Source organism: Homo sapiens, chromosome 4 (genome assembly GCF_000001405.40).
Source record: "Homo sapiens chromosome 4, GRCh38.p14 Primary Assembly".
Lineage (NCBI taxonomy): Eukaryota > Metazoa > Chordata > Mammalia > Primates > Hominidae > Homo > Homo sapiens.
The window spans coordinates 121168540-121186342 of NC_000004.12; the positions used below are offsets into that span (position 1 = coordinate 121168540).

Consider the following 17803-nt stretch of genomic DNA (forward strand, 5'->3'; position numbering starts at 1 on the left):
AGACAGAGTTATGTTCTGTAGTACAGGCTGGAGTGCAGTGGTACAATCATAGCTCATTGTAACCTCCAACTCCTGGGGTCAAGCAATCCAGCTGCCTCAGCCTCTTGAGTAGCTACAGGTGTGTACAACCACATCTGGCTATTTTTATCTTTTAAATTTTTGTAGAGATGTGGTCTCACTATATTGCCCACACTGGTCTTGAACTCGTGGCTTTGAATGATCCTCCCACCACAGCTTCTCAAAAAAAATGCCTTTTAATAACTTTTTCAAAATGAGGACTTTAATATTTGCTTCCTGATTTTATTCATAGGAACATTTTTAAGAGCGTGTCCAGCAGTGACTGATCTCTGACTGTGTGTCAAACCTAGTTCCACCACTTGCTAGTTATGTGACCTTGGGCAAGATGATTGGCATTTTTGCATGACACCAACTCACCATCATCTCTTAGCTGGATTACTGCAATAACCTAAGGGTTTTCCTGCTTCTATTTTTGCTTCCACTCCCCCCTCCCCATTATTAACACAGTGGCCACTGTGAGACTTTTAAAATGTCATTTCATGTCATTCCACTGCTCAGAACCTTTCAGTGGCTTCCCATGTCACTCATAGTGAAAGCAGAACTCTTTATAGTGGCAAGGTCCTGCACAATCTAGCCCAGGCCTCTCTGACCTCATTCTTGGTATCCTTCCGTTAGTCCATTCTGCGCCATGCCCTGGCCACACCGTTGCCCCTTGAACTTGTTCTCTCTTGCCTCGAACTGTCTTTTCCCTAGATCTCCACATGGTACATCCCCTCACCTTTGTCAGGTAATGGTGTAAGTGACATCTGTTTATTGAGTCTTTACTTGGCCTCCCAATTTAAAATTGCTCTCCACCCCAGCACTTTCCATTCACCTTTCCTGCTTTATTTTTCCATAACACTAAATTTTTTTCTTCTTTTTGTTGATTGCCTCCCGACACTAGCTTGTAAACTCCATGATAGCAACTTTTGTGTGTTGTGTTCACTCTGTGTTTCTCGAGCCCAAAGTAGTGCCATTTTAGTGCCTGTGCGTGTTCATGTGGGACTCACACATACAAATTGCCTTCCTTACCCCAAAACAAATGTATGATGCTCCCAAATCATACATCTTCTCAAGAGATTAAATGGGATCTAAAGATCAGAAACTTCAACTTTTTGGCTTCCAACTAGTAAATCACCTCTCTTTGATCCCCCAAACCTGGTTTTGAACTAGGAGAATCGGGGAATGGGGTGTCACAGATTCCATAGCCTCTTAGAGGATATTCACTTGTGTCCCGCCTGGTTGGAACTCTGAAACAATGCTTCTATGCGATATAGCGAGGTTGTTTGCAGTCTGTCTTGATTATATACTTTTAGTTTTTAGGGCACATCAGATACATTAGAAGGCAAATTGGCTTTTGTTGACGAGTCTGCAGCCTCTACAAAACTGCAGACTTCGTGAAATCCATGTTTAAAGATTTCTGAGTGCCCACAAAGCAGTAAACAATCTGACCCACCTTGACCATCAGTTCCTCTGTGAAGTCTCCCCTGGTCTTCCAGAGTGGAGTTAGCTACTTCCTTCTTTATGATCTCATGGTGCTTTGTGAAGCATCAACTCTAGCACTTATTGTAAAGCAGTTGTTAATTCGATGTACCTTTCTCCTCTGAGATGCTATAAGCTTCTTGAAGATGAGGTCGATATTTATCACTTTAGCCTTAGGAACTACCACAGTACCTTCAAGGTACAGAGTATTACAATACATTTTTATTGAATGAGTCCGTTTATGTATGAATCTATAGTACAAAATCATAGCACACCCCTGCTTTTCAGAACACAGTCCAGAACACACAATGACCACGGGGATACACAAAGTTATAGGCTTTGCCTCCAAACCAGAAATGATCAGGTAGGACTGTGAACACACGTTTAAAGAGCTGGCCTGTTTCCGTGTATTTTCTTTTTATTCATTTTATAGGCAAATATTTTACTTCATCCTATTTTGGTTACATGGTCAATAGTCTTTAGCCTTCATACAAATGCCTCTTAAAATTTTTTACTTGATTTTGATTAATATTTAATAAATAAATAATATAAATAATTAGATATGCTATGGGAAAATTTTTTAAAGGCAGAACTGTTGTCTTTAATAATACTTTCTACATTTTCATGGTGCTTTCTAAGATCTTATAAGTTAATATATTGAAGTATTAACTGATGATCCCCCAAAACACACACTATTCTTTTGTTTTATGTAGCTAATTCTTTCTTTGCTCGGTAAGAGATATCTTTTTTTTTTAAAGAAGGAATCTTGCTCTGTCGCTCAAGCTGGAGTGCAGTAGCATGATCTCAGCTCACTGCAATCTCTGCCTCCCGGGTTCAAGAAATTCTCCTGCCTTCGCCTCCCGAGTAGCTGGGATTACAGGTACCTGCCACCATGCCCTGCTAATTTTTGTACTTTTAGTAGAGTTGGGGTTTCATCATGTTGGCTAGGCTGGTCTCAAACTCTTGACCTCAGGTGATCTGCCCATCTCGGTCTCCCAAAGTGCTGAGATCACAGGCGTGAGCCACCATGCCTTGCCAGTAAGGGATATCTTTTGTCAGATTAAGTTTGTCATAGAATAAAAAGAGGAGAACAGCCCCTGTTTGGCCTTTGCATTTCAAAATAGACTCTCCAAACTCTAGACACCATCTGGAGAATCAAACCTTTGAATTTCAAGAGCTAGTGTTTTCAAAACAATTTTTAAAGATTTTAGGCTAATTTATTTTGTGCAATTTATTTTGAAATGCCTCAAAAAGTTACATGAGTTGATGGATTAAAAGAGGGGTGGATAGATGGATGAATAGATGGTGAACAAGTAGAGTAAAATGTTCATGTTCATGGCAGAATTTTGATGGTGGGTATATGTGTATACCATACAATTCTTTCAACTTTCCTACATGTTTGAAATGTTCATGATAAAATGTTAGGGGAAAAGTCTGAATCAAGGCATAAAAACTTATACCAAGAATAACCAATAAAACAAATTAGTAGATGAAGAGTCAGTGTAACCTGTCCTTACCACTTTCACCATCTGCCCCAGAAGAGAAAGGTTTCATGCCTCAGGAAAATGAAAATGATTCAGGCAAAAAGAGTACTGCCTGGATGTTTCTCAGTTCTCATGAGGAAATGGAGCCCTACTCCCCTACTTTTTGTTTTGTTTTGTTTTGTTTTTGAGATGGAGTCTCACACTGTCACCCAGGCTGGAGTGCAGTGATGCGATCTTGGCTCACCGCAACCTCTGCCTCCTGGGTTCAAGCGATCCTCCTGCCTCAGCCTCCCAAGTAGTTGGGACTACAGGCATGAACCACCACGCCTGGCTAATTTTTTTGTATTTTTAGTAGAGATGGGGTTTCACCATGTTGGTCAGGCTTGTCTTGAACTTCTGACCTCAAATGATCCACCTGCCTCAGCCTCCCAAAGTTCTGGGATTACAGGCATGAGCCACCACACCTGGCCCCTATTCCCCTACTTCTAGGTACTCATCTGTCATCTTCCAAATTGCTTACATTGAACATCAAAGAGCAGAGTCAGCTCCAGCCTTACTCACTGGGTTAAGTCCAGGGAAGGTACAAGCCTTGAAGAGAATTTCTCCACACCACCATGGTACACGGCTGTGACATGCATGGCCTTATGACTTGTCTAAGTAGAGAGGTCCTGAGACAACTCAACCTTAGAGTGGTGTGGAAGCAGAGCCAGAGATTTCCTATGTTCCTGGGAAGGATGAAAGAGTGGTTAACTGAGGGTTTGAGGAGGCCTCAGAGTCAAATTGAGGAGGATGTAGTGTTTACCACATGACCCTAAGGACTAGAGATGTGCTGAGTGACCTGGAAGCTTTAGTGATTGCCAGTGAGGATACAGGCCAATGAAAAAACCCGTAAGAGATAGACTACATCAGTGCCAATGGCAGTGTCAGATGGGGGATCACTGTAACCCTGATGTCTCCACCCCAAAGTTGCCAGAAAAATACAAAATATCCAGTCAAATTTGAATTTCAGATAGACAACAATTTTTTGTATGTTTGTCTCATACAATATTCTGCCGTTTATCTGAAATTTAAACTTAGGTGGACATCCTATATTTCTATATGCTACATCTGGCAACTCTATTTCACCCAGATTATTTCACAAAATCTGTTCCACAAATCCCTAGGTACCATTATGTGTAGGGACAGGGGATAATTCTTGCATACCACTGCACAGAAAATATAAATTGCCTGAGAAAACACTGAAGTGACTGAAATTTTCTGCGGTCAATTAGATAAATTATTTTCCAAAGGACAAGCTAGAGGTCCTAGAATGGAACTAAATTTAGTTAAGAAAACAAAGAAAATTACTATTTTGTACTAAGGAGCTATGTGGTTTAAAATACTTTATTTGCTTCAATCTGAACTTCATAACAGCCCCGTAAGAAGAGGCAGCTTTAATGCTAATGAGGACAAAGTTGAATTTAGAGATGGCAAATGACTTGCTCACAATTATGATGTGACAAGTGGGTGGCTGAACCCATATCAGAGCTCATTTAGTCTTCCTGGTTTACTTCCCCCAAAGAACCTTTTATCTGTGTGGGTAGACGTAAATAACACACCTAAAAATTGTAGCAGGAGACATCATTTACCAATGATGGAAAAGCATCGCAGGAGCCTAAGTCATTAGGAATATGATTCAGGGAAGTTTTATGGGAATTAAGCGTTTTTGAGGGATAGATATGAGGTGGCTTGACCTTTGACGTTGTATCCAAACAAAATCTTAACAAATTCCCACCATGGCATGCCTAGAGATTAATTTGCATTTCCAAAATAGAAATTAGTGGTCAGAAAAGAGAAATTCAGTCTTTAAAAACTGTAGTAGTCAGAAGAGAGAAAATTCAGCCTTCAAAAACTATAGTGGTTAGAAAAGAGAAATTCAGCCTTTTAAAACTGTAATCTGTGTTTGAGTTTTTTTTTAAAAATTATTTTCTCTGGAAGGAAATTAGCTGCTGATCATTTTATAGCAATGCAGATCACTCTGTTTTTCTCTTGTACTTTGCTCATGTGTTGACTTCACCTTCATTCATGTATGCACTTTTTTCTTTGAGATGGAATCTGGCTCTGTTGCCCAGGCTGGAGCGCAATGGTGAGAACTTGGCTCACTGAAACCTCTGCCTCCCGAGTTCAAGCAATTCTCCTGTCTCAGCTTCCCGAGCAGCTGGGGTTACAGGTGTGTGTCACCATGCCCAGCTAATTTTTTTGTAATTTTAGTAGAGGTGGAGCTTCACCATGTTGGCCAAGCTGGTCTCAAACTCCTGACCACAAGTGATCCACCTGCCTCGGCCTCCCAAAGTGCTGGGATTACAGGCGTGAGCCATTGCACCTGACCAATGTATGCATTCTTGTATTAAATACTTATTGATTATTGTCTGTGGACCAAGTATTGTGCTAAGTACTAGAATATGAAGATGAGCAAAAGGCACATCTCAGTTGTGTTTTCTGTTTTCTGAATATAAAATCTCAACATTAGAGGGGACCACTCCATTGATGATGGAATCTTTTCTGCATCATTCCTGCCAAGGGGTTGTCCAGATTAGCTTGGATACTTCAGGTGAAAGAGAACTACCTTCTTCCTGAGGCAATATATTTCAACACCGTATCTATAGATTTAGACACTATTTTTAAATACCAAAAGTTATAATTATAAAAATTAAGAGACTAGGCATGGTGGCTGACACCTATAATCCGACCACTTTGGGAGGCTGAGACTGGGGAATCGTGTGAGCCCAAAATGTTGAGGTTATAGTGAGCCATGATTGCACCACCATACTCCAGCCTGAGTGACAGAGCGAGACCCTGTCTCTAAAATAATAATAATAATAAACAAAATAAAAAAAATAAGAAAGAACATGTGCATATAAAGATGATGTAGGTATATGGAAAGGCTATGGTGAGGACTCAAAACATGGGTGATACAAGGAACACATACCAGAAGTGTTTTGTCTGAAAATAAGCCTGACTCAAAAAAATCTCCCAATATGCTAGCCTAAAAAATTGCAAACATTTGCTAAGTCGGTTTTAATGACAAACGTTTATTTTAAAAAGAAATCAGAATAGCTATCTTCCTCACTGGAAAAAAAAAAGGAATAATTGATCTTTTTTTTGCTACTTATTCTAGAGTCCCATAAGAAAACATATTTACATACTTTGTGAGTTATGCCTCACTCTCCCCACAAGTACAAAATAAAGTAAAAAGTGTTTTTATTACATTTCATCTAGAAGGTGGACATGAGAATGACACGAACATTCTTCAGCAAGAGCTTACAGTGTCCATTTTGCTGGTACTGTTCCCATACCCATTCAAAAATATTTTCAATCAAACTAGAAACAAGAAGGCTTACTTGAGAAAGAAGGCTTATTGATGCATTAGATTCCAAAACCCAGCTTGGGTTGAGATGTCCCTAGGAGACATCCACATCCTGTCACAAAGTTAAATAGATCAAGAATATAATGAACACATTTGCTAAACAACTCTTATGAACATGTTATTTATGGTACCTCTCAAGCCCAATATTTTGCTTCCTTAACATTGTCATGAGTTTACATATTTCTTAACCCACAGGCTTATGCTGTTCTTCTTCTTACATTAAAAGGAATACCTATCCAAAACTTCTTCAGATTTACTTGCTGAAGTCATGCAAGTCTGGAAGAAGACAAAGGTGGAGTGATAATTCCAAAAGTAAGGATAATACCTTTGGCTTTAAGTGTCCATTCAGTAGAAACCCTGAGACCTCAAGTTCTTTTTCTTCTCTTTGTAGGGTTCTAGGAAGACTTATATTCTTCTAATTAACATTTATAATTTCCACACAGATGCCACTTTTCACTTCAAGTCTTGGTTGCTTCCCCCACCAAGCCTCCCAGTGTTGTCGTCTGCTCCCTTGCCCACCCCATTGACCCAAATTGGAGCAGCCAGGACTGCTGTGTTCACTAAGGCAGAGAGAATCCTCTTCTACCTACTGCTTACATCTTCCAAAAGACAATCTGCATCTCCCAGTTTTCTGTAACTCTTTCTTTTGTGGAACATGGGACAAATTCTCCCAGTGATAGAACAGATGACTTCTGAGTAAATAGAAAGCATCCTACTCAAAAGTGTGTCTTATTTATCAACAAGAATGGAGCCTCAGTTTATATTCCCCCCTTGCACCACTTCTGTCCTGTGTAGAAATTTCTGCCCAATAGGTGGGTGGCTTTCAAAAGTTAGGGAAATATTTTCTCTCCTTTAATTTTTATGAGTTTTAATTATTTTGTGTTAGGATCCAATTTTAGTTCACAGACCTATGTCTCTGTTTTCCTGGGTTGTCTGGTGGTGTACTTTATTAGAAAATAGAGTTCAAGCTGGGCATATGCAGTCAGATCTCCTTATCTGGATGTATGCCTGATATTCATGTAGAGTGGAATCCTTTAAAAATCCTCGTAATGAATGGAAGGAGAAATATGTCATAAATTAACCATGGGATCAAATTAACTCTATGGTGATATTTTGGGAAATACAACCTGGCCTATTTATCCACTAATCTGTTTAATTTAGAGGGCTTATAATACTTTCAGAATCAGAATAGCCAAGCTTTACAGATAAAAGAAAGATGCATGGCTCATTTAAATAACTTCACCCATGTTGCCAGTAATGAGCGTCAAATGCCATAAGGTGCAGCGGCTGAGCTGACAGGCTCCTCACTGCCTGAGAACATGCAGGCAGAGCTTTTCAGCCAGGTGTCCAAAGGTTTCCCAGTGAAAGCTAAACAGATCCTCACACAACAATGCAACTTTTTTTTTTCTAGCAGAAAAAAATAGATCAAAACATTCCACAGCTACAACCTTTGAAATTAGATAATGAGATTCAAAGAGGAAGTCAGTTATTGTATGAGAAAACCATTAAAGAAAATTTTGAGGCTCAAGCTCATCCTACTAGCATTATGATGATGATGATGATGATGATGATGATGATGATGATGATAGTGTTGTGTTGGTTTAGCACTTTATATTTACAGGGTGCACTTTCTCTCACTTTGTATAATTATCACAACCCATTGTACAGATAAGAAAACAAGATTTTGATTAAAAAAAAAACAGCTTTCAAAAAAAGGGAAATAAGAAAAGGAAAGCCAGATTTTTTTTTTTCCTACAGTGTGGTTACAGAAAACATGTGTCAATTTACGGTAGTTTGCAAGAAGTTTTTCCCTCACAATCTTGTGAAGTGTCATAAGTATATATTAATCTCTGAACCAACCAAAGAAATTTCTCAAGGCTTTTTACCTTGGGAAGAGTGTCCAGGTCTAGAACTTGTCCCCAGCCACTGGGAGTTCCTCCCTTAACTTGTATCAAAAGTCATTAAAAGCCCATTTCTAGTTCTGCCTCTAAGTTAAAATCAGAAGCAATGGAATCCAAAGACAGGTTGGAGATTTTAGGTAAATTCAATTCTGGCAGGTCTGCTTAAAATTTGGGCATTTTCCCTTTCACTCCCAGGTTTCATCCTTGTTTTCAAGCATTATTGGAACCATATTTGTTTATCCAAGAAATACATTTCAAGCATCCTGTCCCTTTCTTTTATATTTGAAGATACATGACTGCAGATTCATATATTATTTTCATAATTTTCTCATAGTACTTGGACTATAACTTGGTTATATATAACTTTCATTTAACATTCATTTTGGAATCTTAATATCATTCTCACTTAGGCAATTATTTTTCCTTTGCCTACAAGATTTTAAATGACCTTTGGTCACTAACTTTCTACTTCTTCAACTCTCCCAGAATATAAAAGCACACTTTCATGCTCATGGAGTTCCTCATGTTCATCAATAGTGGTTTTCTGTTTCCTCAAAGCAGTGAGTCAGTCTGTTCATTTCTCTTATAGTAATTCTTCTTTTCATATTCTTGGCAATAGTAGTTGAACAAAAAGGGAACTTGACATATATCTCAGGCTCTTTCACTAAATAATATCTGTTTTATTCAGTCACACCCTTCACATCCCATAAAGTCATAAAGAAACCAATTTCCTGCTCCTGGAAAGGGAATCTACCTTATTGTTCTTAGGCTAACTTCATTCAGTGTGAAAACAAGAGAAGCCTTCACTCCCTGTCATTGGCTCACGCTTGTGTTAACCAAATAGAAATTTTCTTATATTTTTTCCCTTTCTATCAATATCTCAGCAAAAATGTGAAGGTCTTTGTTTTGTTTTAAATATAGGGTTTCTTTCTGCAGAATGCTATTGTGTAAATAGTAGCTCAGCAGGGATTCCACCTGGAAACTAAACCATGTTTACTCAAAGAATCAAATATTTGAAATACCTGCAGAGGACAATTGAGGAGGATATGCCAGTGGTCTATTGGGATAAAGAATGGAGACTCCTGGGGGCTGTTCTAGGAGAATTTACCCGGGGGAGAGAATCAAGTAACAGTGGCTTGATCCAAGTGTGGTGCTTTTAGCTCAAAGAGGAGGAGTTAGTCTGATGACAGTATCGTTCCTGACACCAGCTGGAGCTCTGCTCTAGTCTTCAAATAACTCTGAGGTGAGGGAGGGAAAATTAAAAGTAGAAAGTACAGGGCAATTGTTTTCATTAGACATATTTGAGTTTAGGTCCAGAATCTAAATCCCATTAGCTGTACAATCATGAGAAAATTGTTTAGCTGCATTGAACTCCAGTTTCCCCATCTGTAGAGGGGTAAAGATGAAATGAGCTAATGAATAGAAATACTTTGCAAAAATGCTGGCCAAGAGTAGGTGCTCAATACACAGCAGCTAAAACCTGAACAACGACAAAGTGAAAGGACTCTGACCCTCCGGCAAACACTGGAATTGCAAGCTAAAGTTGGAAAAGAAGAAGTCTCTTCACCTCAGTCGCAAGAGCAATAGTGTTTGGTTGCATTTGGAGTTCTCGAAGACATATTCCACATTGAGCACACTTGGCACAGTGAGTGGTACCCAAAGGTGCTCCTAAGAGTGGTACAGCAAACTTTGAGAAACAAGGACAGTTTGAGCACCTGAAAACTTTCAGCAGTCAATAACTTCATGACACCAGGATGGGTAAGACCAAATAGTAGCTTCCATACAAGAACTGAGAGATTAAGCTTAAGAGTGTACATTTGATACTCCCCTGCAGACTCTGAGAACTATTTGTAGGGGAATTATAGGGATAAATCGATGTATATTCAGTGTTACCATGTCTCATGAAACCAAACAAGTTGTTTACTACTGTTGCTTTCTAGAAAATTCTATGTTGTGATTTTTATACCTTCATGGAACACTTTATACCCCATCCTCAAGAAATCCATGAGTCTCTCATAATCCATATGAGAGAAAACACATAGATACATAAGTGATCATAAAAACAAAATGATAAAGTCTATAAATGACATATAAAGAAGATAAAGATGTAGGACAAAGCAGGGAGGGGGCTGAGTAACGCCATGTGGGACTAGAGAGGGTGAAAAGGTTTCAAAACCAGAAAGGTTTGAATTGGGATAAAAAAGGCAGTTCATCAAATGGGCAAAGAAGCAAGGATTTCCAGAAAGAGTAAACAGCATGTGAAATGATAGCACAGGAAACTTCATGGTTTGTTAAAGGCTTATGGGTAGCTAGAACACAGGGTGCACTTTGGGAAATAGCAGAATGTATAGAAGACACTAAAACACTACAGGAAAAATATGTACGAACTTGGCTTTCTATCCTGATACAACTTTGTGAATTTAGGCAATGTTTTAAAATTTCTATGAGCCTTAATTCCTCATCTGGAAAATGTGGATAAAAGACAGTCATATTTAAGTGTTGTTGTAGGTAGAAAACAAAATAAAATATTTACCCCAATAGGTATTTACCCCAACAAGTATTACATCCTTCTTCTAATGTTTTGTTCTAAATGTGACAGAAGCTATATCTTGGAGGAATGTATATATGATGCAAAGGCATTTGGTTTCAATGATGTGTGCAAAGAGATCTACTTTTAAGTTTTAACCACTTTTAGGTTTTCAGTACATTAGTAAGATCTATGTTGATAGAATGAAGAAAAGGAAAAAAGTCCAAAGATATAATAAAGGCAGATTAGACCTTCCCTTAGGAAAAGTCCAGAGTGAACGAAAGATGGCACTATTCTGTGAATGGTGCCACCTGAGTGGTGCAGCATGGTGGCCCTGAAGGAATCCAGGATTCCCCCAAGTTTGGATGATTGGGTGCCTAGTGATTCATTCACCAGCATAGAAAATGTGTGTGTGGTGGCCAGGGTGGGGGAGGGATGACAAGCAGATATAGCAGGAAATATATTGAATTCACTTCAGGAAAGACTGAGTGGAAAGAAAGTACATGTAGAAAAGCACTCCATGTTTAGTAAGTACATGTGTCTGGAGTCATTGTCATATATTTTGTAGTTTAATGAGCCCAGGACAGATCCTTGAGTAACACTAATGTAGCACAAGCAGGTGATGTAAGGGAAGCCAGTGAAGGTGAGTGAGAAGGAGAGACCAGAGAAAAAAAGCGGGGAGGGGTGGTGAGGGTGTCCAGGAATTAATATTATAGATGTCGGGCTGGGCGCGGTGGCTCACGCCTGTAATCCCAACACTTTGGGAGGCCGAGGCGGGTGGATCAAGAGGTCAGGAGATCGAGACCATCCTGGCTAACATGGTGAAACCCCGTCTCTACTAAAAATACAAAAAATTAGCCAGATGTGGTGGCGGGCGCCTGTAGTCCCAGCTACTCGGGAGGCTGAGGCAGGAGAATGGCATGAACTCAGGAGGCGCAGCTTGCAGTGAGCCGAGATCGCACCACTGCACTCCAGCCTGGGCGACAGAGCGAGACTCCGCCTCAGAAAAAAAAAATTATAGATGTCAGAGGAGTAAGATATTTTAAGAAAATTGAATGACTAAATAGTGTCAAATGCAAATAAAAAGACAAGTGAAAAGTAAAATGCAAAATGACCATTGGATTTATCCAGATAGAGGTTATTAATGGTGTGATAGCAGAGGGAAAGTTTTGGATGCTGTGATCAATGAGCTTGGCTATGTTGTGTAAGAGTGAGTTCAAACATTACCCATAAAAGAAGATGGGGTCTCGTATATGTTTGAAGTGGAGGAGAATGGTACATATTTTGAGCTGGTGAGAGGTGATGGAGAGATTAGAGATACAGGAACCCCCACACTGTTAAGTGATTGGTCTTATCATACAGTGGTGGTTTTCAAACTCAACTCGGTCCTCACTACTACTCTGCAACTCATTTTCGTTTTACTTATCTATTCTGTCTCCCTACCTTCCAATAGTCATTTCATATCTTCCCCAATTCCCTTAAGCCTTGGGTCTCACCTCTTACCCTCTCAGTCTCTGTAGATGTCTTTACCTCATACTTCACAAAGAAAATAGAAAACATCAGCTAAGAATCTGCTGCCCTTTGCCTGGAAGTGTGAAGTGCAGGAGAATGAGCAAATTTCCTCAATGAGGTCGTAGGAAAATCAGTATCTTAGAGAGAGAGACATAAATTTCAGTGAAGTCCCAAAAGGAGACATAACCTGTAGCTAAGAGGAAGGTAATAAGGATGTAGAAGAGGTTTTTACCATGTAAAGGAGGACCAAGAAGTCGAATGAACAGAATTGCAAAGAAGGTCAGTCATGAGCAAATAGGTCTTAGAAGATGATAATGGGAGGATATGAGGATGAGGGTACCAGAGGGAATTGATATTGTCACCATGAAATTTCTTTCTGAGGTTAGACAAGAAGGTGGCTGGAAAAAGCACATATTTCCATGAAGGAATAAATTTCTAGTTGGGAGTTGGAGGTGTATATGTGAGGGCTTCGAGTTGGGATGAGAAGAGCAGAAGAAAACAGAAGAAAGAGGCCTTATTTGACCTCATAACCATTAGTACACATTCATCTGTAACTCCAAAAATAAAGACAACCTGTTCAGGAAGAAGTGAGTTTTTAGACACGAAAAAGTGACTAAATGCAGAAAGCACACAACACTGTTCATGACATGAATGAAAGAAAGAGGTACAGGAGTATCCACAGCATATTAAGTGAAGAGGGTAAGTTAATAAGACAGGTGTGTGTGTGTGTGTGTGTGTGTGTGTGTGTAAAACACAGAGGTATCCCAAATGCTAAGAGATGGTCTCTATAGGTGGTGAGCCTACTGGTGGTTTCAGAGGCAGTTCTGTGTTTAGTGAAGTCTGAGGCCTATACAATTCTGGGATTTCCTTTAAAAGAAAAAAGAAACAAATTTATGGATGCAAATTAGTTATAAAAGTAAATATTTGTTTAAGGGAGGCCACACTCCATTATCTCCACAATGAATCTGTCTCTACATGATTTTTATAGTTTTCTGTGTTTATCCATATACATTTTCAACACTGAGTAAGAACTTCTTTAGAAAGAAGAACTAATGTTATTTTTATAAAGAAGTATAAATTACTTTTTAAAATGCCAGCCATGCTCTCAAACTACTCACATTCTCACATTAGATTTTTTTTTTTAGTAAGAATCATGAAAGATAGTTTTTAATTGGGAGGATTACAGAGTTTAAGAGTTCATGTTGTCATAGGATGCATGTCAAGAAAGTCATCTGTAAAATTCCTAGCTTGAGCCTACCCTTGAATTTTATTTGCTTATATAAAGCACCATAGACAAATACCCTGAAACGAGTGGAAGTTCAAAGTCAAACAACTCCTTTAATCAATGAAACCTTGCTTTTTCTTACAAAAATACAAAACGAAACAAAAACAACTACAAAAAATCATCGACATGAGTTGTGCTGATCTTGGTAACCCAATTTAAATGGGTTACTTCTTCCCAGGAAAGAGTTGTCCCTGCATTAAACATTCTTTCTAGTAGCATGATCTCCTCACCTTCTTGTAGTCACAGCTGCCTGGACACTTTAAAGTGGAAAGTGCCAGCAAATTCTTCTGCTGAAGAATTTCTTTAGTAACAGGAAGTGGCTGTGTGAGAGAAGTTTTATACTGCTTCAGTTTATCCTCTCAGCTGACAAGGAAGTACATGACTGACGGTAAATGACTTGGGGACTGTCTCCACAAATTCTTCTTGATGAATAAACTGCTGAAGGGTACATCGAGATAAGGAGAAAAAAGGTGTTTTCTTACCTTCAGAGAACATAGATTTCTGTGAGTTGGCATGGCCTCTGGGGTGAACCGTTTTGGATGAGGAGACGCATTTCTCTCAATCAGATCCTGGATTTTTTTGTCCAGCTCCATGCTTTCACATCTGCCCAGAAAGACATGGGAAAGTTACATTATACAAAGGTAATTAAAAATTATTCAGGCGTAGAGTGAGTTTATGGATGACATGGAGGTGTTATTTATGTATGATACTTCTCTACGATCTCCCAAACTCTAATCTCATTATGTTTTCATTAGTCCATGCCATGAGAGCACTTTGAAAGAGCATTAGAGTTTAATTTTCACTTACAAAGGAAGATACGGACAAGTTTAGGAATTTTCAGTCTGAGAACAATGGCAAGAATTGAATCGAACACTCACGGTGAGCCAGGTTCTTTCACGCATTTTCTTATTCAATGTGCACAGCAACCTATTAAAGTAGTCACTGTCCCAGGCATTAGACAGGTAAGTAAACTTGAGTTTAGGAAGTTAACTAATTTACTAACTTAAGTGAAGTCAAACTGAAACATCGGCAGGGCCAAGATCAAACTCAGACCTGTAGAATTCTACAGTCTGCCTCAACCATTTTTGCTGTATGTCTTCAATTAACCTGAAAACAAATCCCTAAGCAGCTACTTGCCACCACATGGAAATAATATATTACAGCTGAAGAGTATCTGGAAGCCCCCTTAGGAGAATCTAGTCCAGCTGCTTCCCAGAGGGAGTTGCTCATAGTCACATGGCCATTAGCTGATAATGCCAAAATTAAACCAGAGCTTCCTACTCAAATCAAATTTTTATTTTTCCTTTATACCAGGGGTCCCCAACCCCCACTGCCAGTCTGGCCTGTTAGGGCCACACAGCAGGAAGCGAGAGGCAGGCAAGTGAGCAAAGCTTTATCTGTATTTACAGCCCCTCCCCATGGCTCACATTACTCCCTGAGCTCCACCTCCTGTCAAACCAGCAGTGGCATTAGATTCTCATAGGAGCGCAAATCCTATTGCGAACTGCACATGTGAGGGGTCTAGGTTGTGAGAACATTATTGTGAACTGCACATGTGAGGGATCTAGGCTGCCTGCTCCTTATGAGAATCTAATGCCTGATGATCTGTCACTGTTTCCCATCACCCCCAGATGGGACCATCTAGTTGCAGAAAAACAAGCTCAGGGCTCCCATTGATTCTACATTATGGTGAGTTATGTAATTATTTCATTATATATTACAATATAATAATAATACCAATACAGTGCACAATCAATGTAATGTGCTTGAAACCATCCTACCCCCTGCCCCAGTCCATCGAAAAACTGTCTTCCATGAAACCAGTGCCTGGTGCCAAAAATGTTGGGGACTACTGCTTTATATGATGTTGGCATAATGGAGAAATTATCTGATTAAAAACAACTCACAAGGAAAAATGCATTAATTGTGTGATTTTTTTTTCTTTCTCTCTCTCTACATATGTATATTTTTTTGCCTGACTCATCATATCTCACCCCCTGAAAATAACCTCTTGGATTGAGGGAGGAGTTCTTGCAGGAGTACTTCTCAAAGTTGTCTCCAAATAAAATAAATAACCAGATGAATGGCCTAATCAAATGCCTGTATGGCAGAGGTTGCTAGGGTTGTCTGCTCAATCCACCACCCTTGTTGAGAGTAGCTCACAGGAGTAGGCTCTGACAGCCATGTTTCCATTGATATGACTTGAACTTGCCTTTTGGTTATAACTGATTGGACCAAGAGTAAACAATTGATCCCAGTTTGGCCAGTGGGATTCTCCTCTGTGTCTGGAGTGAGCTGAGAATGAATCATATGGGTAGAGAAATGCGGAGCTGAGAGATGGAGAGAGTCCTGACAATTTTCTGGTTTAGAATCAGCCCCTTCTAAGGCCTGACTACCTTCCAACTTTCAGATTCTGTGAAACACTCCATGTCATTATAATGAATTCTCTCATTATTTTTAAAGCTAGCTTTGCTTGGTTTCCGTTATCTATAATCAAAAATCCCTATATATGCACCTTGACTTTCATATTTATATTGTTTCTTTCAGGCTGTGAAATATCTGTACATCATGTGTCATTTATGATCCCATTGTAAAATATGGGCTACTGGGCCTACAGCAAATCCTTCATGGTGCAAAAGGTTGCATATGCATAACAATGAGTTTGGACCTATCTTCAGGTTTTTTCCACAAACCTGTGAGGAGGAAAGTCACAAAATTTGTTTAGTAACTGCCTTAAATCCTTCAGGTTAATTAGATTCCCAAGTAGCAACAGAATTGGACTAGTCTAAATGTTAAGCTCTTGAGGCAGCTTTCGGACCTATTCTGAACCAGACTTGCCTGCCAAGATGTCACAAGACTTTCTGGTCCTACATCCCTCTGTGACAGAAAAGTTACTGAGCCACTTCAATCCCAGGCAGGATCATTTGGAGATAAAACTCATCACGATCTACAAGTCCTCAAATGATCTCGTTTCCTTGCTATCTTTCTAATCTCACCTTCTACTCTCTTCCTTCATGCTCTTTTTCTTCCAGACACGTTTGCATCGTCAAACTTTATGGAACATGCCAAGCAGTTCCCACTCCAGGCCTTGGTGTTTGCTCTTCCTCTGCAAAACTTGCTATCCCACTTCATTCAGTGCTGGCTTAAATGTCACTTTATGGCGAAAGCCTCTGCTGACTAACCTATCTGAACTAGATTTCTGAGCCCCATCACTATTGTCCCTTAATTCTGTTTTATTTTCTTCTTTGAATTTTTTATTATTTTGATTTCTTATTTGTTTACTTTTCTCCTCCCTTGCCCCATCTATGTCCCAGGAAAGAGGAAAGGCCTTTGTCTGTGTTTATTCACTGCTCAGTCTCTTAGCACACAGTAGGACATCAATAAGGATTTGTTATTGAATAAATATGACTCCAGGAAGAGATTTAACTCAAAATACCTAATTATTAACTCAAATCTAACCAATAAATTAAGTGCTTACCTAAAATGTATGTAAATAAACTCAAACTCATAGGACTGATAAAGTGGAAACACAAATCAGTAAGCAAGGAAACACTAGCAGCAGCTTCAGAATGGACACTCAAGCTCAGCTGGTATTGCCCTCATGGCTGCCTTGTTCTTTTTTACTTGTATTATATGTGTTCTTTGATATTAAACAACAATTGAGTATCCATTATTGCAAGGTACTGACTTTTCACAGAAATAATCACATGCAGTCATCACTGTTAAAATTGTTTCAACTTCAGTGGCAAGCATGTTAGAAGCCAGCAGTTACTGTTCCCTCTTCATTTGGACAGAGTGGTGAAGGATCAGCCTCAGAGCTGGGGCCCTGCGTCCTCTCACGTGAGCCTGGTTCAGCACACGTCCCTCAGGACCACAACCAAAGAGGGACGGGCCCTCATGAGGATAGTGGTTTTCTGGGCTTGGCGCACAGTGAGACTGAGCGTGGTGACTACAGCTTCACTAACTTCAGCCACTGCAGAAAGAGGAGAAGTGGCAGCAAAGAAAAAGAGAACCATATGGTGGTGACCAGACGTGGGGGGGTTTGGTCACACCTATGGAGAGAGTGGGCGTCAGTGTTGACCGCTGTGGGAGGGATACGTTTTGAGCACTCAGGAATCCAGCTGGGAACTGAAAGCACACAGGAGGGGT

The 17803-nt window shown here is 39.6% G+C and overlaps 1 protein-coding gene across 6 annotated transcripts in view, besides 2 other annotated features; it reads right to left on the reverse strand.

Moving 5' to 3' along the window:
* TNIP3 (TNFAIP3 interacting protein 3) overlaps positions 1–17803 on the reverse strand; it is a 96076-nt gene that overhangs the window by 37132 nt on the left and 41141 nt on the right. For 4 of the 6 annotated variants that reach the window (NM_001244764.2, XM_047416182.1, NM_001128843.2 and 1 more), the window contains exon 3: positions 14137–14257. In NM_001244764.2, coding sequence (NP_001231693.1) covers positions 14137–14257 — 121 coding nt within the window. Of the gene's footprint in view, positions 1–13884; positions 13975–14136; positions 14258–17803 lie in introns of all 6 variants that reach the window. The other 2 variants (XM_011532257.4, XM_011532256.3) reach the window with 1 other exon arrangement.
* Positions 188–247: an enhancer, noted in NCBI's record as "active region_21863". NCBI's record gives its function as "activates an Ori minimal core promoter by ATAC-STARR-seq in GM12878 lymphoblastoid cells {active_cell/tissue: GM12878}" and the evidence as "EXISTENCE:reporter gene assay evidence [ECO:0000049][PMID:35858748]".
* Positions 818–867: an enhancer, noted in NCBI's record as "active region_21864". NCBI's record gives its function as "activates an Ori minimal core promoter by ATAC-STARR-seq in GM12878 lymphoblastoid cells {active_cell/tissue: GM12878}" and the evidence as "EXISTENCE:reporter gene assay evidence [ECO:0000049][PMID:35858748]".